This window comes from Homo sapiens, chromosome 13 (assembly GCF_000001405.40).
Source record: "Homo sapiens chromosome 13, GRCh38.p14 Primary Assembly".
Classification (NCBI taxonomy): domain Eukaryota; kingdom Metazoa; phylum Chordata; class Mammalia; order Primates; family Hominidae; genus Homo; species Homo sapiens.
The window spans coordinates 49,206,555-49,220,284 of NC_000013.11; the positions used below are offsets into that span (position 1 = coordinate 49,206,555).

The 13,730-nt window shown below is 44.4% G+C and overlaps 1 protein-coding gene and 1 pseudogene across 6 annotated transcripts in view, besides 3 other annotated features; one reads left to right on the forward strand and one right to left on the reverse strand.

Moving 5' to 3' along the window:
* The window catches only part of FNDC3A (fibronectin type III domain containing 3A), a 234,489-nt gene extending 231,264 nt beyond the window's left edge, over window positions 1-3,225 (forward strand). For all 6 annotated transcript variants that reach the window (NR_103528.2, XM_017020440.3, NM_001079673.2 and 3 more), the window contains one exon: window positions 527-3,225. Coding sequence is in view for 5 of the 6 variants with exons in the window: in XM_017020440.3 (XP_016875929.1) it covers window positions 527-841 (315 nt within the window). In the remaining variant the exon portion in view is untranslated. The remainder of the gene's footprint in view (window positions 1-526) is intronic.
* Window positions 3,536-5,604, reverse strand: OGFOD1P1 (2-oxoglutarate and iron dependent oxygenase domain containing 1 pseudogene 1; annotated as a pseudogene).
* Window positions 13,214-13,470: a silencer, noted in NCBI's record as "fragment chr13:49793904-49794160 (GRCh37/hg19 assembly coordinates)". NCBI's record gives its function as "represses an EF-1alpha promoter that drives an FKBP-Casp9 reporter gene in an ReSE screen in phorbol 12-myristate 13-acetate-treated (for megakaryocytic differentiation) K562 erythroleukemia cells {active_cell/tissue: K562(+PMA)}" and the evidence as "EXISTENCE:reporter gene assay evidence [ECO:0000049][PMID:32094911]".
* Window positions 13,214-13,666: a biological region, named in NCBI's record as "ReSE screen-validated silencer GRCh37_chr13:49793904-49794160".
* Window positions 13,407-13,666: a silencer, noted in NCBI's record as "silent region_5339". NCBI's record gives its function as "represses an Ori minimal core promoter by ATAC-STARR-seq in GM12878 lymphoblastoid cells {active_cell/tissue: GM12878}" and the evidence as "EXISTENCE:reporter gene assay evidence [ECO:0000049][PMID:35858748]".

Genomic DNA, 13,730 nt, shown 5'->3' on the forward strand with positions numbered 1-13,730 from the left:
TCTGATTCTAAGTGATCTCCCCTCTCTGGTTTATACAGTGATTTGCCATAGGCACCTATAGAAAGCTCCCCTTATTCATTTTCCATTTCATTGTACAGATATGTTTGAAATTATATGGAAATTTATCAGTTATACAAAGACATAATGGGGGAAGCAAAAGTAGACACTATCCCTTCTTTGATGGAATGATTGCATTGAAAAATGACTTCTTACATTTGAGAAAAGCAAGAAAATGCTTGAGGACCGATTTTGCTTGTTCTCTAGCTGCCCTGGGGCACATCTGCACTCCTTAATTCATCTGTGAACCGTATAAGGGTAGATCCTCGCTTTTGAAATTTCTCTTGCCCCTATGCAACAAACAGATAAGTACTTTAATGGACAGGTATTTTTAACATGTCATTTAAAAGATAAAATCAATGGCATTCACTGGCTTTCACATGAAAAACAATTCTAACACTAGCCAGTTTTAACACATTTTCTGTCCAGCCTTCACACGTAATTCTTCCTTCTAATATTTTATTAACAGATTTACAAGGGTCCCGACTCTTCCTTCCGGTATTCCAGCCTTCAGCTGAACTGTGAATATCGCTTCCGTGTATGTGCCATTCGCCAGTGCCAAGACTCTCTGGGACACCAGGACCTCGTAGGTCCCTACAGCACCACAGTGCTCTTCATCTCTCAGAGGACTGAACCACCAGCCAGCACCAACAGAGACACTGTGGAAAGCACAAGGACCCGACGGGCACTGAGTGACGAGCAGTGTGCTGCCGTCATCCTTGTGCTGTTTGCTTTCTTTTCCATTTTGATTGCCTTTATCATTCAGTACTTTGTAATCAAGTGAAAATATAACTTTATTTTTTAACTCTATTACATTTTATTTTGTCATGTACTAAAATTATTTCTGTATTGCTTTTATAAAAAACAGTGGCATTTAGCACTGGCATTGAGACTATAGCACATCATTTTTGCCATTTTCAGTGCTTATATTGTTAGGTAGAGGCTGGCACTTTATTAGAATGCAAGCCACAAAAATATCAATTTTGTTTTTTTTGTTAGGGTGGGTCTTCTTTTTTTCTTTCCCTCTCTCTTTTTTTAACAAATGCCTTCTTATAGAAAAACTTTCTAAGAGGCAACAATTTAGAATGGATATTTTGACGAATCGGCATGAGTGTAACAGTGATAACCTGATCTGTTTGTTTTAAAGATTATTACCAAGTGAAAAATTCAGAATGAATAGAATTTACACTAACATGCTATATAAAATGTTAAAGTCTGATGCTGTGAAAGCAATCTAGTGCTATATTTCTACCTCCTCATTTGTCTTAATTATTTGGTAAGTGGGATTATGATGAGTAACTGGAGGGGCTTAGAAACAAAAACTGGATGAAAGAGTATGCATGAAGAAAAGCTTCTTTGATAAATGTGGAGTTCTTCATTATAAATATATATTCATGAATTCACAGATAAGTACTTAAAGAACAGACAGTTTACTTGGCCTAAAAATATTTTGATGTTTACTCAAAAAGTACCTCTTCAGGTCTTGAGAACATGGAAAAGAATTGAGTGCTTTTAAATACTTTTTAGAAAGTAATCATAAAAGTAAATTGAATTTCAAACCTATTTGGCTTCTGTTTTGTGAACCTTTGAACTATATGTATGTGTATAAGGGTATACACATACATATATGGCATATAACAAGTGTACACATATACACATAACAAGTGTAGAAGTATATATTACATACATACACTCACTCTGTCTGGTATAGGCTAATTTTGAAGAACTCCCATAAGTTTCTGCTGCTTCTCCCATAACTGCTGCCACCACCATCAGAATTCATAATCAAACCTAACCTTTTTGTTTGGGGCACCAAATCTGAAGACAAAATTAATTTGCACCAGTAAACTTCAAGCTGCTTTCTTTCTTGAAAACTAAACGTTTAACGTATAATGTCTGTTTGGATACTGTTCCAAATTGTTGATTGCATGTGGTTAATGTTGCATTAGAGCACTTTGCAATTGCATAATTCATTAATGTTTTGTGAGCTTGCATTTGTGAGTTATTGGATGATCAGACTGAATTTTGTCAAGTATCACATTGTACATCTTGCCTAGATGTCGATGACTGCAAGTAATAATACAGTTTATAATGAAACTATCTACAATTCTTGTTTTAGCACATCTGTTATCCGTAAAACACCTGTAACTAGCTTTTTTAATTTATTATTTGAATTTTAGGATAGCGAATCACTAATTTTTAGTTGCTGAGGTTGGCATTTTAGTGATTATTAAGCACTTCTGTCAGTCTTTGAAAAAAGAACGTATTTTTTGTGCTTTGAAGATCTCTGAAGAATTTCTTTTATAATAGAATGGGCATGTATTGTAACAGTTTTATGTCAAATGATCTGTGCTGTAGAAAAACATTAACCCTTGTTCAAAAAAGAAATGGATAAACTTGGCCTTTCTAAGTGGTAAGAATGACCTGTCACTATAATATACTGTATGTTTACATTTTATTTAAATTTAATCTCTTATGTATAGGGTGATAACCTTCCCCAGAAACAACAGTGATTGCGATTGTTTTCTAGAAACTTCTTTAAAGTGCCACATTTGGCAGTACAAATGAGTCTGAGTGTAATAGCCCAGAGATTTATATATAGTTGAATGTCTAAAATGGTAAAATGTGCCACTGTGTCAAGTTACAGTGGCTTATGTTTTTCATAGTAATTCAAATGAACTTCCTATTTTTGATAGTAAATGTCATTTAATAGTATACTTGCCATTTGAGCCTCACTGCAAAATTAGTGCAGAGGAGAAAACAATTTTTAATGTAATCTTGATTTTACCTCATATACTGTACATTCCAAAAACTCTAAACTTTTTAAAGATTATAGATACACTACCAAACATATCACCTTAAAATTGTATAAGGCTGAATGAACTTCATACAAATGAAAAAAATCTCATAAAAATACATAAACTATGTAGCAAAAGTATCTGTAAAATCCATGGAAAATAAAAGTTGTATCATTCTTTTTGAGATACGTTTATTGTATTCATATATATTCATTATTTGCTACCTGTTTAAGAAAGTGAAATGTTATGGTCTCCCCTCTTCCAATGAGCTTAAAACATTTTTCCCAACAGTATATAAATCTTCAACATGAGAGGATGTATATTTATTATATAAAGCCCAGTAAAGAATAAAATTAGAAGTTTTATCCTAGTGACTTGATTTTGTGCAACTCATGAAATATCTTACTTCCTTTCCACATATAAAGAATACAGTGAGTCTAAGGTAAACTTCCCAGTGGGAAGAAAATCCCTAACCTCTCCTTGCCTTTCCCACATCCCTATTTTCTAGTACCTTCTTTCGCCCACCACCAGAGGCCCAGAACCTTCCTGGTAGTGGCACTGCTGGGTCTGCCTTCCACCAGAAAATCCAACATTCTCTCACTCATCCCCCATTAAAATTTCCATCCCAAGAACTTCCTCCTGGGGATGGACACTCAGTGCCTTTTTTTTTTTCTTTTTTTAATGGGTAAGCTAGTAAATTTTATGTTATAAATATTTTACCACCATAAAAAAATCATTGAAAAATTCACTGAAGAAGCCAATATGGAAAGAGGAGAACTCAATGTTTAAAATAAAGCCAACTTTTTTTTTTTATTCAAGAGGTAAGTACATAGCTTCAAGCTCAAGGTCTAGGTTGAGGACAATCATGAGTCCTATTAAAGGACAACCAGTTTAAAGAACACTGTCAGGCAAGCTACCACGTAGCTCTCCTTCACTCCAGGCTTAGCTGTTCCAGACTTCCCAGTACTGATGAAGGATCATGTTTTTGTTCAGCTTTGCCCAGTGCTGTCATTCATAATAGATAAATGAAAAGTCCCAGAAACCTGTTGTGTTTGGGAAGGTTTTCTTTTGTTCCAGGCTTCAGTGGTTAATATGCTTGACAAATTTCAGAGTCTCTATCTCTGTAGACCAATGCCAAAGAATTGCTTTCTGGATTCACTGTTAGCAGCTCTTCGTCTTCATCTTTGGCAATGTAAGAAAACCACCATATTCTGGCCCCCAGCCTTCACAGCCACAGTGGAGAATTAAGTCTAGGGCAAAATCAGCCTTGCCATGGTCACGAATTAAAAGTGTGGTGACCAGTCTTCCAACGCCTCAGTTCCCTTTGGCATGTGGGAACACCTGATTCATTCTTTGTTTCATTTTCCTCTGACTCGGTCTGTCTGCTCATGGCTCTGTTGGCCGTTGATGCTGATGGCTGCCTGATTATTCTCTGGCTCAGGAGGGCTATGGCCAGTCCCTTCCTCAGTTCTATCAGCAGCAGAGGCTGCTGCTTCCTCTTTTTTGTCATCCATCTCATCTTCCGAAGGGGCCAAGAAGTGAAGCTTCAGGCCTGTGAAGTTGGAGAGCAGCAAGAATAGTGCCTCAGAGCAAAATAACTTCATGCACTCCTTCAATATATCAGGAAGCTTACTCTCCTCAGCTTTCTCATAGAATCATCTTTTGTTGGCCAGGCACGGTGGCTCATGCCTATAATCTTAGTACTTTGGAAGGCCGAGGTAGACAGGTCACCTGAGGTCAGTAGTTCAAGACCAGCCTGGTCAATATGGTGAAACCCCTGTCTCTACTAAAATAGAAAAATTAGCTAGGCATGATGCCAGGTGCCTGTAATCCTAGCTACTCGGGAGGCTGAGACGGGAGAATTGCTTGAACCCAGGAAACGGTGGTTGCAGTGAGCCGAGATTTAAAATTTAAAAAATGATAATAAAAAAAAAAAAACCTTTTCTTAGGGGGACCTCAGCTGCTCTCTTCCACATCTCCATTCTCCAAGGCCTCACAGACCTTTGCAAATTTCTCAGGCTTAAGAAATTTCTTAGGAGAATTTCAGAACTTTCTTCAAACTCTTCTTGAGTTTGAATTTGGTAATCCATGTCCAGATAAGTAAGGTTGATCCAATCAAACAATTTCATGTTCTTGTGGGGTGTGAGGGCTCCAAGATATGAGGGGGTTCAAAGTAGTTGGGAGGCCTAGTCAGTGAAGGACCATGAAACCAGCCACTTATAGACAAATGTGACTTCAGACAGGACTTTGGACACCTGGTGAAAGGACACTGCAGATACTTCAAAGAAAACCAGTTTGTTCCATAAAGGGGTAAGAGACGACAATCTGCTTCGGTTGAAAGTGTTCATCAATGTTGTACAGGTCCAGGATACCCTCCAGGCTCCTGTCCCAGGAAAGAACCAGGTACAGGATAAAGGCGATCCAGCGCCCTTCTAGCTCATCATCATGGCACAGCAGGGCATCAGTGAATTCATATTTAGCACAGGACACATCGATGGTTGGTTCCAGTAAATTTTAGAAATGCCAGAAAGCCAGGACCAGAAATCTTCAAACAGAATTTTCCTTAAAGCAGAGATGTGAGGCCCTCTTCTTTAAATCATCAGACTGCTGGAACTTACATAAATCATTATACTTGTCATGGAAATCTAAGTTCATAAGTTCCTTCTGAAGCCCTTCCAAGAAGTCGTCTTTGGATGAAGTTTGGGATCATGCAGTGAAGAAAGGGGTCCATGTCCCTGACAATGGCTTCGTAGCTCCAGGCCTCAACCACCTGCTTTTTCAAGGTTTCCTCCATGACGGCATCTGAAAATTCCGCCATCACCTCCTTCTTTCCCTTTTTTCCCACCCGGGTCCGGCCGGGCTCCACTGGCCGTTTCATCTCCTCACAAGGTACAGAGCCACGCCATATGACTCAGTGCTTTTAAAATCCATGTAGATCTCTTAATTGCCACAACTCCAAGGACCGTGATAGAGTTTAAAATGTTGGGCTGGGGAAGGAGAGTCCGGAAATAGGAACATCACAGAAGCAGCTAAGCATGAGTCCAGGTTTGAGTGGGGTATGATACTGATTTGACAGTATGATTGCACGTCACCTCTTTTTTTTCTGTAGATTGGAAATAGGAGTCTTTTGCATCCTGTTTGAGCATTCCATGGGTTGGTTTCCAACACAAATCCCTTGCTTCTCACCATTATAAGATTATTTCTGCAGGAAGATTCCATTGACGTGGTGGCTCAAGGAGGCAAACAGGCTTCAAAAGAAAATAGGCCGGGTGTGGTGGCTCACGCCTGTAATCTCAGCACTTTGGAAGGCCAAGGTGGGCAGATCACAAGGTCAGGAGTTTGAGACCAGTCTGGCTAACATGGTGAAACCCCGTCTCTACCGAAAATACAAAAATTAGCTGGGCGTGGTGGTGCACACCTGTAATTCCAGCTACTCAGGAGGCTGAAGCAGGAGAATCGTTTGAACCTGGGAGGCGGAGCTTGCAGTGAGCCAAGATCGTGCCACTGCACTCCAGCCTGGGTGACAGAGCGAGACTCCATCTCAAAAAAAAAAAAAAAAGAAAATATTCCCCCAAACTTAAGCAGTGATTCTGTAACCTAACTCCCATCATCAAAAGAGATGATGCCTCATGTTTTTAGAGAGTTTTTAAGTGTTCTATTTTCATATACATTTTGTAAGTATATGCCGTTGAGAATGTGTATCCCTTTTGTTTATTTATCATTTTCTCTCTGATGCTCCTAAGGCGGGAGAAAAAACTTGGAGGAAAAAAAGAAAATCAACCAAAGAACCAAGATTTCAACAAGGTGGTCATCAAATTCTGTGTCCAGAGTGGTGCCTTCAAATGTTTAGATGCTGTAATGGCTATTTTTTGTCTCATAAACGGGGCTATTGTGCCATTTCCACTTACTACGGGAAATTTGCCAAGAGAAAAGGGTTTCAAAACTGAACAGATTTTGAAGCCACATGGCCCATTCAAATCATTATGGCTAGGATCTGTCAACCATTTAATGTGTTGTAAGCATTATGTTCAGTTCTTTACCTTGGGCATCTCATACAGTCCTCTTAATTGCTCTAGTAAGCATTATCTGCAGCACAGAGAAGTCGAGCTCTCTGCCACAGGTCTCATGGCTAATAAATGATGAAGCTGGGGTTTGATCCAGGTCTGGGGCTCCCACACTTGACCACTATCCTCTGCTGTCTGGCCCAAAATTTACAAACTCTAGGAAATCAAAATTAATATGAATTGACTTTAATAGTGCGTTTATGATAGCATTTATTGATTGAGTACCACCTGTTTGCTAGGCAATGTGCTAAGCACTTCCTCATATGCAAAACAAGCCACAGCCCTCTAAGGACTGAACAGAAAGAAATCAGATGAGAAGAATCTGGTATAAGCATAACAGACTAAATGAGAAACCCTAATTTCTTTCCTCTTGAATTTCATCCCCTGATACTTTTACTACCATTTTGAGCCCACACTCAATCCTTAAGGCTAGCCCATCTTAAATATTAATCCAAGGATGAAAACGCCATTTTTGCCACTTACCGCAACTAAGACAAGCTGACATTTTCAAAAATGAATATAGCTACCATGTGGACCAACCTCAAAAACACACTACAATGAAGGAAGCCAGACACAGAAAGTCACATATTATACAATTCCATTTGTATTAAATATCCAGAATGAGTAAATCCATAGAGACAGATTAGTGGATGCCAGGGCTGGAGGGAGGAGGAAATGGGGAGTAACTGCCCAGTGGGTGCTGGGTTGATGGAAATGCTTAGGAGCCAGACAGAGGTAGTGGTTGCACAACTCTGAGGGCACTAAATGCCAGTAAGTTTGTCACTTCAGAATGGTTAATTTTATGTGAATTTCACCTGAATTGCTTAAGAAGGGAATATAAAACCTATAAACTGATACACAGGTAACATAAGACTAGAGAATCCTGGGCATCAAGTCCATAAAACTGACGTAGTCAGTAAGTTCATTTTGCTAAGGACAGAGGCCAACTTGTCTCTTTTTTCTCAAACTCCCACACCTCCCAGGATGCTACCACTCCTTTCAGCCTGTGACATGTGCCTGGCTTACAACTGAATATTTTATGGATGTCCTTGAGTGTGATTAAACAATTTCGCCTGCCCACACCCAAGTTATCAGCTCTATCTCATTCTTAATCCTTCTAGGATGACACAGAGGTCTTAAAGAAGAAATTACCTTTTCAGTTTCACAGTTAATCAATGGCAGCAGCTGCACAGTAAGAATGCTCGTATGCAGTAGTGTAAGGCCTATAACCTCTTCCCACCCACGCTTCCAAGGGCTTGCTCCCTCTCCACCATCCCCCTTGGTAATTGTTGCCACGCTGAGCCTGTCTGTCTCTCAGGAGAAACTGGGACTAACAGAAAAACTGCTAAAGCAACAGCCACAGAGTAACAGGAATCTGCACTCCACAAAAGTCTTGCCTGAATTTGCCCTGCCGTGTCCCTGCTGTGTAAAAAGAAAACCTAGGAAAGACTGAGCCCCTGGTCAATGTGGCGGTCAGGTCCTGGCGGTGAGATTGGGAAATAGCTGGCCTTGAACTTCTCTGCCAGGGGCTCCCTTCCAGGGCCAGCTTTGCTATCTCTGCATTTTACTAAAGATACCATTTCCTGGTGCCTGGGGTCTAGAGGACCCAGTGGGTCATGTGAATGAGGAAGGGGCTGAGTGTGAAGCCACAGATGCCCTGTGTGTGGTGACAGCTGTGAGGTGCCTGCAGAGTGGCACCAGCCTACAGGCTGCAGGTGGCAGTCTTTGGGGAACATGAGCTCAGAGCTGCCACAGCTTCCGGTTTTGCAAGACAATGCTTCCTTCTCAAACTCCCACACCTCCCCGGATGTTACCACTCCTCTCAGCCTGCGGCACGTGCCTGGTTTACAACAATATTTTATGGATGTCCTTGGGAGCTATTAAAGAATTTGGTCTGCCTAGGCCCAAGATATCATGCTGACAATCTGGAACTTTACCTGAAATTTCCCAATTGTAAAAGGTTGGTTCAAAACATTATGAAATGGCCAGGCTCCGTGGCTCACATCTGTATTCCCAGCACTTTGGGAGGCAGAGGAGGGTGGATCACTTGAGCCCAGGAGTTCAAGAGCAGCCTGGGCAATCTAGGGAGACCCCCATCTCTACAAACTTCATGCCTTGCTCTTATGTGGGGAAAAGAGTGTAAAGCCTGTGGAGTGTTTACAAGTTTACATAAGTAAACTATTGTACAAGTTACGGATGTATTTTTTTTTTTTTTTTTTTTTGAGACGGAGTCTCGCTCTGTCGCCCAGGCTGGAGTGCAGTGGCGGGATCTCGGCTCACTGCAAGCTCCGCCTCCCGGGTTCACGCCATTCTCCTGCCTCAGCCTCCCAAGTAGCTGGGACTACAGGCGCCCGCCACTACGCCTGGCTAATTTTTTGTATTTTTAGTAGAGACGGGGTTTCACCGTTTTAGCCGGGATGGTCTCGATCTCCTGACCTCGTGATCCGCCCGCCTCGGCCTCCCAAAGTGCTGGGATTACAGGCGTGAGCCACCGCGCCCGGCCGTTACGGAGGTATTTTAATGCTCCTCACAACTTTCCAGATTCTTCAATTTGCCCATAAAATCTGGTTTCTGAGAAAGACACTGGAAGACACTTTCCTAGCAGAATCCAGATCATAACCTAGCATTCTCTGCAGCTGGTGGTGCTATGGTCTGTATAGCAAGAGGCCACCCAGCACAGTAGTTATGCCCATGGACTCTGGAAGTGGACAGCACCACCCTTACTGGCTGTCCCAGTGACCTGGGGTCACTTCTCTGTGCTTTGCTCTTCTCATCTCTAACATAGAGATACTAAAAGAACCTGCTGCCTTGGACTGCTGTGGAGGATTAAATGCATTCAGATATGAAAGTACTTGGAACAGTGCCTTGCACACAGCAAGCATTAGCTTTATATTCATCCAGACCATCCCTTTATATTCATCAAAAGCCAACAAGTGAGGCCTCCAGCCCGGGGCCAAGAGCCTATTGATGACACCAACCTCTTGCCTCTGGGGACGCAGGCCGTAGCTGGGCCAAACCTAGACCCACCCTTGCCCCACATGAGTTACAGGTGGAGAGGTACTCAAAGAGTAAAGAAGAGAGACGCCCATGCTCCCGGTCTACTGAGAACTTCCTCTTCCTCTCGCTAGATTAACTATGAAGTCAGGAAGCTGGTGAATGTCTACAGAAACACAAAGTAGAAAACAGATCTGGTCCCATTCCTTCCTAAAACATTGAATGCCAACCCATCATAAGAGCTCAGATATGTCCTAAGGGCCAAGTTATGTTTGAACCTCAGCATAGCAATGTTATCAAAAAAGCCCGCTGGGTCTCCACCTCTCCATATCAGTATTCTGTCTTAAGCTGAAGTATCAGTGACTACTTACTGAGCACCCACTACAATCAGAGCACTGTTTTAACGGCTAGGAATTGTAAAGAAAACAATGGTACCTGGTTCTACAGAAGCTCATTCATTCTCCAAGTTAACAAATATTTATTAAATTCTCACTTTGTGCCAGGCACTAAGGAAACAGCAGTGAACACAGCAGATTAAAGCCCTGCCTTCTGGTGCACATAATGTTGGGAGATAGAGATAGATAATAAACAAATAGCTAGGTAAATTAAATAGTATGTCAGTTGATAATAAGCAATATGGAGAAAATACCATAGAGAGGGAGTGCCTGAATGGAGGTGAGTAATTCACAACAGCCAGGATGCTGACTGCAGACTCAGTGAGCCTGCCTCAGCGCCACCATGGTGGGTGGGGAAGGGAATAAGGGAGGCTTCAGCAGAGGCTGGGGTAGTCCATCAGGCCAAGGAGCAAATGGGAAAAACCAAAGAGACTCAGGGATTCGCAGCCCATGAGAGCCATGGGGAAGATGTCAAGTGCTCCTGATAGCATCACCTGAGTCCAAGAAAGAAGCTACCTCTTCACTAGCCACAGGCCCATGCGCCCAAGGCTAGCAGAGCCACTGGTGACCAGGCAGGAAGGGAACATGGAACTGGAGTCTAGCAAATGCCAGCCCCTGACACCCCAGGAGCCGGCGTGAAGCTTCATAAGGACCTCTCCCTCTAGCTTTAAGCCACTGACCCCTCTCCCCGTACACCTGGGCCACCTTGAGGAAAGGCATGATGTCTGAGAGAAGGGAACACTGCCCAGAGGGGCTGCTTAACTGATCCGCCTGGATCATGCCTTACCTAGGCTAGAGCATTCATTTCTCTTGTTGAGAGCACAGGGGAAAATCAAATCAACTATAAATGAAGAAATTACATTTTCTCTGCCTAGGGGGAGGAGACAGGGAGGAAGAAAAAGTGGAAACTGTGAGTACAGAAACTATTTTGAGGAGTTTTGCATGAAAATGATCCAGGAGAGAAAAACTGATGACAAGAGAGAGAGAAAGAGAATTGACGCAGTGATGTCTGGAGGAGGAGAAAGGAGCACTTAAGGGGCAGAGCTGACTTCAGCTGCAAGTACCACCAACTGTCCCAGGGGAGCACGAGCAGAGGTGGGGGTGTGGTAGTTATCTTCAGAGAAACAGGGTGCAAGGAAACCTCCCAAAGGAAGGGGTGGTGGGTGTTGGGTCTAAGGAGAGAGGAGGGGGTATAAACCAGCAGCCTGGTGGTGGGAGAGTGAATGAGGTCAGGTGAGAGTTGGGAAGGCCGGGGGAACGAAGCACCCCGCTAGAGGTTGTGCTTTCAAGTGAAACAACGCCATGTGAGAGCAGGCAAGGAGTAGGCAGGGAATTCGGCTTCACCAGGGTTGTGGTGCTCTTGGTGGATGGACGAGGCTGACAATGGAGAAAAGAGCAAGGGAGTCGAGGGCGTCTGTGTGGGAGTGATGGCGACTGCCCGTGGAATTTACGTTGGGTAAAGGAAGAAAGTGAAGACCTGGGGCAGGCAAGGGACCGGGAAAAGGAAGGAGGAGCCAGCGATGGAGGTCGCAGTGGGTTGAAGGATTACCGGAACTGAGGTGCTAGGGGAAGAGAGCTAAAAAGAGAGCGGGCGGAGGTCAGAAAGAGGGCTGACTGAAGTGGAGGTGGAGGAAGGCTGGCAGGCAACCGTGAGGTGTAAGTTCCGTCGACAGGCGCGGCTGAGATCGGGTGGAGAGCAAGGTCATAGGTGGAAAGGAGGTCAACAAACTAGAGGCCAAGGCATTCCAAGACTCGGCATGGGTGTGAACGGCCGCAGATGCAGTGCTTCAAAGAGAGCGCAGGCACCTGTCCCTCAGGGACTACGGGTGACCACGGAGGAAAGCGCTAGGGAGGGCGGTTTTAGGACCGCTGGAAACAGCAGCGATGAGGGAGGCGACAGGTGTCCCTCCTCCAAGCTCACAGTCTGCATGTGAGAGAGAACTGCAGGAGAAGCTTGCCCTAGGCAAAGCCAGGTGTCAGGTCCAGAATCGAGACTCCAGAGAAGAGGTTGAGGATTTAAGCCACTGAGGGGGTGGAGCTGGGCAGTGAGTAGGACGTCAGGCTTGCAAGCTCTGGGATTAGGCCGACCAGAGCCCATATCCCAGTCCCGCCTCTTACTGCCTGCTTGATCTCAAGCAAGACCGCTTTGTTCATGGGCGAAAGGAGCGCCCCGGGCCATGAGGATTAAATGGAGAGCACAGGGCCAGATCCATCTAAATTCTCAGTAAGTGTTAGCTATTGTTATTAAGACCACACCGAACAGACTGAACATCCGTTTTAGCCCCTTTCCCCAATTTTCGTTCTTTCCGGTGTTGACAAATCCTCTAGTTTTTTAAGTTTATAAAACATGTTGTACATAAGAATGACATATCACATGTGAAAGTACTCTAGTGTCCACGTAAATATTTGTCTTGTTCTTTATAATAAGTAAACATGCTCACGGATCCTTGAAATTATCTGGTCACTGCCGGGCGCGGTGGCTCACGCCTGTAATCCCAGCACTTTGGGAGGTCGAGGCGGGTGGACCACCTGGGGTCAGGAGTTCGAGACCAGGCTGGCCAACATGGCGAAACCCTGACTACACAAAAAACACAAAATTTAGCCGGGGCTTGGGCGCTCCTGTGCTCCCAGCTACTCAGGAGGCTGAGGTGGGAGGACTGCTTGAGCCTGGGAGGTCGAGGCTGCAGTGAGCTGTGATCGCGCCACTTAAACTCCAGCCTGGACGACAGTGAGACCCTGTCTCAAGAAGAAAAAAAGAAAGAAAGAAAGAAAAAAAGAAAAAAAAGAAATTATTTGGTCAATTATATGGTCAGCTCCCTCCACCACTCGCGAATTTACAGAAGAGGAGAACTGGGCTGGGCGAGACCAGGACTAGCCCAAGATTACACAAGTTACTCGGTTGTAGAGCCAGGATTAGACAGGAGAGGCTCTAGATTCTGGTCTAGACTCCCCTCCTATTATTTAGCATTATGGCTTCCTGAGGATTACCATGAGCCCTCCTCCACCGTCAAGCGGCAGCTACCAGCCACCAGACCAGATCCCTTCGAAGGTGCCCGGAGTACCAGACTGACAAAAGCGCCCGTACAGTGCTCAGTCCTGTAACCAAAGCTGTCTAGGGTGCAGACATCGCTCACCGGACCGGGTAGGGCTCGTGCGCTAAGGGCGCCGGGTATTCCAGTTAGTGGAGAGGGAAGCGCCCTGGAACTGCATGGGCCCGGGAGAGGGCGCGGGAGCGGAGCAGGGCCGGGCCGGGGCGGGCCGCGGCCGTGGGCGGAGACTGCGCGCAGCTAGCTCGGGAGCGCCTCGGAGCCCACCCCGCAGAGCCGCTTCTCGCGCCCCGCAGCGCAGCGCAGCGCTCCGCCGTCTGACCTGCCGCGCCCGCAGCGTGCGGGCTGGGAAAGGAGGCGCTCACCGAGAGGGAC